This window comes from Homo sapiens, chromosome 15, assembly GCF_000001405.40.
Source record: "Homo sapiens chromosome 15, GRCh38.p14 Primary Assembly".
In the NCBI taxonomy this organism is placed as follows: domain Eukaryota; kingdom Metazoa; phylum Chordata; class Mammalia; order Primates; family Hominidae; genus Homo; species Homo sapiens.
The window spans coordinates 23,276,875-23,286,464 of record NC_000015.10 but is presented as its reverse complement, the minus strand read 5'-3'; the positions used below and the strand labels follow the sequence as shown (position 1 = coordinate 23,286,464).

The 9,590-nt window shown below is 52.9% G+C and overlaps 1 pseudogene; it reads left to right on the top strand.

Moving 5' to 3' along the window:
- Positions 1 to 5,092: 5,092 nt before the first annotated feature.
- Positions 5,093 to 6,245, top strand: LOC102723634 (WAS/WASL-interacting protein family member 3-like; annotated as a pseudogene).
- The last annotated feature ends 3,345 nt before the right edge of the window (positions 6,246 to 9,590 follow it).

Below are 9,590 nucleotides of genomic sequence, written 5' to 3'. Positions count from 1 at the left end.
CTGACCTCAAGTAATCTGCCCGCTTTGGCTTCCCAGAGTGCTGGGATTACAGGCATGAGCCACTGCAACCAGCCATTATTACAATTAATTTTATGTGTTGTTGTTTTTCTTCTTGGTGTTTTTTTTTTTTTTTTTTTTTACTTTTGTTAATGTGACTAAGAACAATTTTTTTTCCCCACCCGGAGATGGATCCTCACTCTGTTGCCTGGACTGGAGTGCAGTAGCACGATCTCAGCTCACTGCAGCCTCTGCCTCCTGGGTTCAAATGATTCTCCTGCCTCAACCTCCTGAGTGGCTGGGACTAACAGAAGCATGCCACCATACCTGGCTGATTTTTGTATTTTTAGTAGAGATGGGGTTTCACCATGTTGGCCAGGATGGTCTTGAACTCCCAACCTCAGGTAATCTGCCCACCTCAGCCTCCCAAAGTGTTGGGATTACAGGCGTGAGCCACCGCACCTGGCCATGTTTATTAATACGACTAAGAACATTTTGAATTGCACCTGTGGCTCCATTGGTGTCCTGGGCAGGTGGCTCTGTGCTGTCCACACAGGTTGTCTCCTGTGTCTTCGTCTTCGCTGCGTGTGACTTTTTGGTTCCTGTGGCACGTGGGGTCCTGTATGGGACATTGGTTCTACAGCAGATTTATAGTAAGGATGTACCTACTAAAAAATACAAAATAAAAAGAATAGACACAAACATAGAAATAAGTATCACCTCACAAAACTTTTGGAAAGTAGAAAAAGAAAAATGCATTCGCAGCTTTCCAGTAGCCGATATCCAGGCTGTCTTCATCAGCATGGATCATGTGTCCCTCTCCTGCATGGGTAGACACTGTTTTCTCACCTTAAGTGTTTGTGAGTGAAGGATTCTTGATGTGTTGACTTGGCAGATGCAGTTGTTGAACAGTAGTTTATCTAAAGATCGTAAGAGACTTTTGGAGACATTTCATGTCCTTTTTTCCCTTGGAAAACGTGGGTTGGAGAAATCGCTGCTTGCCAAAAATAAGCCGTGAAATGTATTTCAGAGTAGATCGTTATTTACATGCTGGCGAGGAGCCACAGAATACCATTTACATTTGAAAATAGAGCGCTGCGAAGTTTTTATAAGTAGTGAATCCCATCAGAATTACACATTTTGATTATGGCTCTAAATTTTATATTAAATAAACTAAAAATTTCATTGTATTGTATTACCGTCTCTTGCTCCTTCAGGTGTAGCATACATGCTAGATTCTAGACCTGTTTCTTGTGTTACAGTGGTGTTATCCAGGCAGGGTATCATGTAGTGAAGGTGATGTCGAGTGGTGGTGGTGAGCCCAGTGAAGGCGCATCCTTGCCGTGTGTGATGAGGGCCTGTGGGTTGCTATGGGATTCCCCAACCCTGGCTCCTCTGTCTCCTGCTTCTGTCCTTACTCACACTGCTGGTAGTTTTCTGGTGTGAGACACGGGGGCAAGTGGGATTGACAAGCCTGCTGTCACATTAGGAACCTGAGTTAAAGTGGAGCTGAAAGCATGTCCTCGCTCTTGATGTTGTGCAGAGAGCCACCTGTGCTCCTGGCTCAACGGGGCGGGTGTGGTGGGTCTGGAACCAGGCCCTGGTTTGGCTCTCCTCCCCTCCATGTTCCCCTGTCCTGTCTGATTTGCTTCACACTGACATAAGAGTTACTTTCCCTCGGCCTCCCAAAGTGCTGGTATTACAGGCATTAGCCACCGCGCCCAGCTAGCATCCTTTCAAGTACTGGGGTACACCCAAGCTCCCAGCTTCTAGCTAGGAGTCATTTTGTCCCTCTTTATCCCAAAGGACTTGCCACCATCTTTGGTTCCCAAAGCCCAGGAGGGTCCAGGCTCTTCAGCCTCCAACCACTTTGCATTTCTTGTCTGCTTTTCGTTCATGGAGATAATTAACTTATTTTTCAGCCTGGGCATGTCTTTTTTATTTACTTTATTTTTTATTTTTATTTTTTGAGATGGAGTCTCACTCTGTCGCCCAGGCTGGAATGCAGTGGCGGGATCTCATTTCACTGCAGCCTCTGCCTCCCGGGTTCAAGTGATTCTCCTGCCTCAGCCTCCTGAGTAGCTGGGACTACAGGTGTGCACCACTATGCCCAGCTAATTTTTACATTTTTAGTAGAGACAGGGTGTCGCCATATTGGCCAGGCTGGTCTCGAACTCCTGGCTTCAAGTGATCCTCCTGCCTCAGCCTCCCAGAGTGCTGGGATTACAGGCACGACCACCGCACCCAGCCTTTATTTACTTTGTATATCTCATCTATTACTGCTGCAGTTTGCAGAAGAGAGGATGCCCTCAAACCTAACTTCTCCAAACCATCCCAAATGGGAAGTCTGCTCCACGTCAACAGCATTGTTGCTTTTAAAGACTATACGTCAACATGCCAGATTATAGCAAAAGGATGTCGAGGGAGCAATAGGAAAGCAAGCCTGAGAGTCCTGGAGAGAAGGTGGCAGAGCTGCCTTTTGAAGGTGGTTCCTTCCTCAGACCCTGCCCTTCCTGCCTTGTTCCTCCAGTTGCCAGATTTGCTGTTGGAGCTCCTCCACGGGCGAAGAGGTGAGGCTGGACTGAGAGGGAGATGGAGAAGCTGCCAGAGATTCTTTTGGATCTAGAATTGAGACAGCAGTTCCAGCCAGGTCCAGAGGTGGGGGCTGTCACCCAGCCCCCAGGGGAATGGTACTGATTGCAGAATGTGGCGAGAACTCCCTGGCTGGGAGAGGGAGGTGCTTGCTCCCTTGAATCACCTGAGCCCAGGCTGGAAGGCCCAAGGGGGAGGACGAGGCCAGCTCACTCCAGCTCCATCCCCTCCCTTTAACCCTAAGCTAGTTAACCCTCCCAGACTCCAGTCCTTTTTCCTAAGTGCCCTCCCTGCAAAGTCTGCACCGAGCAGCGCTCCCTCGCACCAGCTCACCCTGCACTGTCTTGTCTTTCAGCAACCCCATGGGTTTGAACTTGAGACGATTCATGTTCCTAAAAGCCTCTTTGGGCTGAGGGAAGGCATGGGTGGCTCTGCCAGTTTTGGAGTGGGGGCCGACTCTTCTCAGAGCCGCTGCAAGGGCCAGGGCCACCCTCCCAGGCGGGTGTCTCTGGGCTGGGCAGCAGCTTTGTAGGCAGCCTGGGTCATCCCCACTGGCCTGGGAAGCTGGGGGTGCACCGGCTCCTGCTCCTGATAGGGCCAAGGCACCTTCCTTACCTAAGAGCTGACTTTCTTGAAGAGTGGGCACAGAGGAGCCGGCAACCTGGGCTGTGTAGGCACCCAGGAGAAAATCTGCAGCTCAGTATCAGAAGTCTCCACCAGCACGGCTGTTGCAGAGATGGGGAAACTGGGCTGAGAGGGAAGGGGGCTTGCCCAAATCACCAGCCCTGGAATGTTTTGAGCTTTGGGGGTGGATCTCCCAGGAAACGTGTTTTTATGGCACCACCGCCTCTGGTCACCCACCCCGAGGTGTGGCGGGCCTGGACAGCCAGCTTGACTGAGGGCCAGGCTGGTGAAGTCAAAACTACCACTCAGGAAGAAGACCTAGCCCTTCTCCAGACAGAGTTCAAATGTGAGGACTGCCTTCTTTGGGCCTCAAATTCCCCACGTGAATTCCAAGGACCCCTCTAGCTCCTACACTCTGGGCCAAGGTTTCCTCTGAGCCGCAGTCAGCCTAGAGGACCTAGGATACATCTTCCTTGGACAGAGACCCACCATAGGGGCAGCAGGAGGTAGGGGTGGGGGTAGGCAAGATTCCTGTGGGGAGGTGGAGCTGTCATCAGAGATGGTGTCTGCAGGCAGTGGGTGTATCGTGGCTCTGCTACTACTTGCTGGGTGGCCCCATGACGTTTCTTTCCCCACTCTGACCTCAGTTTCCCTATCTGTTCCGTGGAGATAAGATGCCTGCCTACATATTTGTGGACTGGGATGTGTGTGGGCCAGTTGCAGTGTTTCTTGGTGTGGTCCTGGGGCAGGCTGCACCACCCCATAGAGATTTCTGGGCCCCACCCTAGGCTCACAGGACCAGAATCTCTGGGAATGAAGCCTGGGAATTTGCATTTCCACAGGCATCTGGCTGATTCTGACATGACTGAAAAGCACTAATAGTATATAGCAAGCTCTTTATAAAAGGTAAATTCATAGCTGCCTTTTACTAAACATAAATCTCACCTTCCCTTCCTCAGTTAAGGACACACACCGCAGTTGAAAATCACTGTGCCTTTCCAGATGCAGAATCTGACCTTTCCGATAAGATTCTGTTAACTGCTGCTTTCTGCAGTTTGTATTCCAAAACAAGGGGAATATGTTTCCATTTTTTCAATACAAATGTTTAAGTCGGATATGCTTTCTCAAACTGGACACGCACTCACACAGCTTAGGGTTTCAGCTATGGCTTCCTCTCAAATTATTAGCCTCTTTCTGCCAGGGAGCAGTTTTTCCCAGACAAGACCCTGGACAGAGGTTGGTGGGGCCCTCCTCATCAGAATCACTAGATTATGACTGACCCCTAGAGGTGGCTTTTCTGCTTAAGTGTCAGCCCATGGGCTGGGTTGTGACCCCCAAAGCTGCGGCAGAAGCTTCCACCCATCCTGGGCCCCCCCTGCCATCTATGGGGAAAGGCCTGTCCCTTGTCTTCTGGGCCCAGCCGGCCTCACAGGCATTCAGCAGATTGGAAAGTCGAAGCATGTGCTGTGCTTGGCTGGGCTCTCCTGCGCCCCTTTTTGGGGTGAGGTGGAGTGCATCCAGCCCCCAGCATCCCTGCCGTTTATTCCCACCCCTCATCCCCACCCCCATACACACTCACAAGTACAAACACAAGCACAGTCACTGGCACACACCACTCTGGACAGCACCATTTCCAGCCTCAGCGGGGCAGTTTCCTTACAGGGAAGTTAATGAGGCACTAACGAAGGCTCAGGGGACAGGGGGAACCTCTATCGAGAAGAGGCTCCTAGACCTGGTTCTGCCTCTGAATTGCTGGGGGTCCTTGAGAAAGTTGCTATCCCTCTCTGGTCTCAGTTTCCTCAGGTGAGAAATGGGGGGCCGGCCAAATGGTCTAAGGTTCTGGGAACCTCTAAATCAGAGCCCGTAGCTGGTGGTCAAGATGAGGGAGAGGCCCTCAGGGTCAGCCGAATGCCTGAGAGGCCGGACAGGCCCAAAGGTGAGCAACGTGAGCACATCAGGTGGGCTCAGAGCTGGCGCATGAGCCCCACAGCCTGCAGAGCAGCCCTGTACTCGGGAGCCCGCTCGCACCAACCCAGTGGGACTTCAGAGATGTGGGGTCCAGCCTTTCCTACTATTGCTGGGCTGAGGGCTGGGAGCTGCAGATTCTGACCCCACAGCTGCCTTAGACATGCCAGATGGTCTGGGGCAAGACACACCCCTCTCTATGAAATGAGCAGCCAGTCCAAATAGGTACATTAGAGAAGGGCTGTGGGATGGACCCAGCTGTAGCCTGGGGCTACAGACTGGCTTCCGGGGTACTCAAGCAGCTGGCCTCTGGGGTAGCAGCCCCAGGTATGAGAGGCAGGACTCAGAATCTAGGCCAAGCCTCCATAGGAATCCCCTCTGGAGAGCCCGGGCACTCTGCAGGAGGGGCAGCAGGCAGCAGGTGCACCAGGAGCATGTTTCACAAGGTGCCCAATATCGCATCTGCTCAGATAGGCAGCGAGTTGGAAAGTGGATGCAATAGGCAGGGTGGCGGCTGCTCCCCACAGCCAGGAGTCCGGCCCAGCACCCACCTGAGTCCGCCTCAGTCCTGCTCAATTGGGTTATCCGTGCTCTTGGCCCTCTGGTCCCACCCACAGAGGGAGGTCTTTGGGGCGACCAGGTGAGCTGGCCCTTGTGGGAGGATGTAACTGACTCCTGAGCCTGGCGAGCCAGGCAGCCCCTCGCCAACGTCCCCACCCCTACCTCTCCAGCCCCCCCGCATTCCCTGATCCTCCCATCCGCTCCCCTGACCCAGCAGTTGCCTCTGCTCACTCTCTTTTCCTGCTCCCAGGCTCGCCTGGTCATGTGTCCTTCACTCTCCTCTGAGTCTCCCTCTTTCCAAGCCGCCTCCACTCTACTTGACACAGTCTCCCTTAAGACACCAGAGTACACAAGCGCAAGTCCCTGCACCTCACCTTTACTCCCAGACATGGGAGGGAGATGACATGAAGACCCAAACGCCACTTAGCAGGAGATCTGGGGTATGCAGAGGGGCAGAACGGAGGCTGTGGAAGCTCCAGGGGCTCCCTTCAGGAGGCCACATGTAAGCTGGCTATTGAATGTGGCTCTGAGCTGAGACCTCTCCTTGAAGCTCCAGACCAGGAGCCAGCTGATAGCTGGACCCCTCCATTTGGTGCCTCAGAGAAACTTTGCACTCTCTAGGTCTAACTTTGAACCCAGAAAATTCCCCCATGTCGGCCCTGTCTCTTCACAGGGAAAGCACCACCTCAGACCCAGTTCTGCACCAAACCCACATTTGAGTCACGAGGCTCCTGCCCTGCACTGTGAGCACTCTGGATAAGCCAGTGCTGAGGGGGAAAGAGCTCTGAATGCCAAGCCAAAACATGAGCTTCAACTCCACCTCCAGCTCTGAGAGCTGTGGGTAGGGAAGGGCCCTAGTCCAGTTTGCTGTAGAAAGATCAGTCTGCCACTGTATGGCACATGGATGGCAGGGGCAGAGTGCAGGTGGAGAGAACAGAAGGTGGGCAGGGCGGGGGAGGCAGGGACATGGCTGTAGCCGTGGAGATGGGAGGACAGACAGGACTTGGTGGCCACTTGGGTGAACCAAGGGAGGAGTCAGGAAGAGACACCCAGTTTTGTATCAGATGTGTAGAGCGTGGGATGCTGTTCATTGACGGAGGGAGGAGGAGGAGGAAGAGGTATGGCATGGGGAGGAGGTAGCTGAGCTCTGTCGTGAATGTCATTTGAAGTCCCCAGGGAAAGCCAGGCCGGCCAGCACCTTCACTGCTTCAGCCAGCTCTCAGGGTGTCTGTGCTCCCTGGCCCTCTCAGCTCCTGCTTCATAGCTGTCAGCTGCAGTGGGAGACAGCTGCACAAGGGCCCAGCATGTCTGTGTGTTTACCCAGGGGACTGCCGCATGGCCCATGCCGAGCAGAAACTGATGGACGACCTTCTGAACAAAACCTGTTACAACAACCTGATCCGCCCAGCCACCAGCTCCTCACAGCTCATCTCCATCCAGACGGCGCTCTCCCTGGCCCAGTGCATCAGCGTGGTAGGTGCAGAGGGTACCTGTGGCTCAGGCTCAGGTGAAGAGGCAGCTCATGCCCAAGCCCTAAGCAGTCAATGTCCAGAGGAATGAAATGACTAGAGTTGACTTAGACTCACCGGTACACGGTGGGGAGGCTGGAGGAGGGTCCATGAGGTTTATAGGTGTCCAGTATTTAATGAGGTCATGGTTTTGTTAACAAAGAAGAAATGAGGGTGGGAGCGAGATCACCACTGGCTAGGCAGCCAATGGGCCTGCAGAGACTCTGCTCAGCTGAGTCTCCAGCACGACCATGAGCTTCTCATCCTGATCCTCCCATCCCCACCCTACTTTTCTCCCCCAGCTTGCTCAACAGGTGACCTTACAGGCTCCCTACTCTTTGCAGGGAATAAGAACCAGACTGGGGGAACTGACGGGTACAGAGGCCCAGGTGTAGGCGCAGGACCACAGGCAGTGAAGCGTCTACTGACCCAGGCGGGTGAGGGTCTGGAGAGTGGGCATGGCTGCTGCAGGCATGGAAAGCAGGCACAGATGGCGGCACTCCCAGGGCCCATTGTCAGGGTCTCCACATGTGGACGTGTGCAGAGGTGGGGGTGCTGAGGGAGGAGGGGCAGGGAATTTCTCATCTTCTCTCTACTGCCTCTGAGTTGGAGATGTCAGAGGGAGCCATGGCCCACTGTAAAGTAACACAATGTCCCCACCCACAGGATTAGAACCCCTCCCCTGGAAGCAGCTCTGAGGGGAACAGTCACATGTAGAGAGTGCAGGGCACTGTGTCCAGCCGGGGGAAGGAGGTCACCAAGGGGGTTGACCCCCCTCTGGCCAGGTGGCTGCCTTCTGACACACCAGCCTCTGTCTCTAGCACGGTGGCCCCCACACACCCAGCCTGTGAAACCTACAGCCCTCAAGAAGGCTTTGGCCAAATTAAGGAGCGGCTCCCTCTCCCAGGAGGAAGCACAGGTGAAGGATGTGGAGGGCAGTAGAGTTGTGTGTGCTCCGCCCCCTTTCTCCACAGTCGGATGGAAAGAAGGGGGCTTTCAGCCAGGCTCGCCCAGGCTGGGGTCTGAGTGTCACTGTCCAGCTATTGGCTTCTTGCTTAATGGGTGAGCCCAGCTGCTCCCGTGCAGCTGCCGCCCTAGTGAGGGTGAACCGGCAGGCGAGTTACATTTCTGAAAGCCTGGGAATACAGTAAATATTAGGCTGTGGGCTGCTGGGCCAGGAAGAGTTGTTTATTTTTCAGGGTTTGTTTATCTATTGACTTGATGAGGGAGGGTTATAGGTACAACCAGTTTAAAGATGGAAATTTTGAGAGAGCAGGCAGGGATTTAGTGCTGGGTAAGCCTGGTCAAAGCGGCTCTTTTGGGGCGGCCAGAATCCAGTACCAATGTCCTCAGCATGTTCATCAGCTGCTGGGGGAGTGCGGGACAGCATGAAAGCACAGGAGAACTTTCTGGATGATAGAAATACTCTGTATCTTCAAAGGAGGTGGGTTCCATAGTAATGTTAAATGAGTTAAAACTCATCAAAATGTAAACCAGACCTGTGCATTTCACTAATAGAAATTATACCTCCAATTAAAAACATGTTTTAAAAGACAGATGGGCCGGATGCAGTGGCTCATACTTGTAATCCCAGCACTTTGGGAGGCTGAGGCAGGTAGATCACCTGAGTCAGGAGCTCGAGACCAGCCTGGAAAACATGGTGACATCCTGCCTCTATTAAAGGTATAAAAAAAAATTAGCCAGGCATGGTGGCACACGCTACTCGGGAAGCTGAGGCAGGAGAATTGCTTGAACCCAGGAGGCAGAGGTTACAGTGAGCAGAGATCGTGCCATTGCACTAGAGCCTGGGCAACAGCGCAAGACTCCATCTCAACAACAACAAAAAAAGGACAGATGAAGGTTTTCAACTTTCAGTAAAGGCAGAGGAGCTTGTTACAGATTCGCCTCCCCACAAGAGCAGTTAGAAAAACTGGATAAAAATGTGCCCCGCCCCCAATCAAAAACAATTGTTGGAAGGTAATTGGAGACCTCAGTCAGGACTTGAGTGACCAGGCCTAGGAGGTGATCCTGACAGTCTGTAGTGCTTTCCCACATTTGGTGATTGGTCAACAGTAGAGGGCTAAGAGGCTAAGAAACTGAGTATGAAGTGGTAGTTAAGAGGCTGGAGAGCCTAGCTGAATGTTTGGCACTCTCACAGGGCTGAAATGACCTAATGAGAATTTGGGTCCCAGGAAGGAGATGGGACCTTGGTGGGGACCCTGGAAGGGCCACCCCTGGGAGTCCAAATGAATAAAACATAGACCAGCCATCAGAAAACCTAAAACCTGCTTTGAACCAGCTTAGTCCCAAAGTAGATGAAGGCGATCTGCCCTTACTCCAATT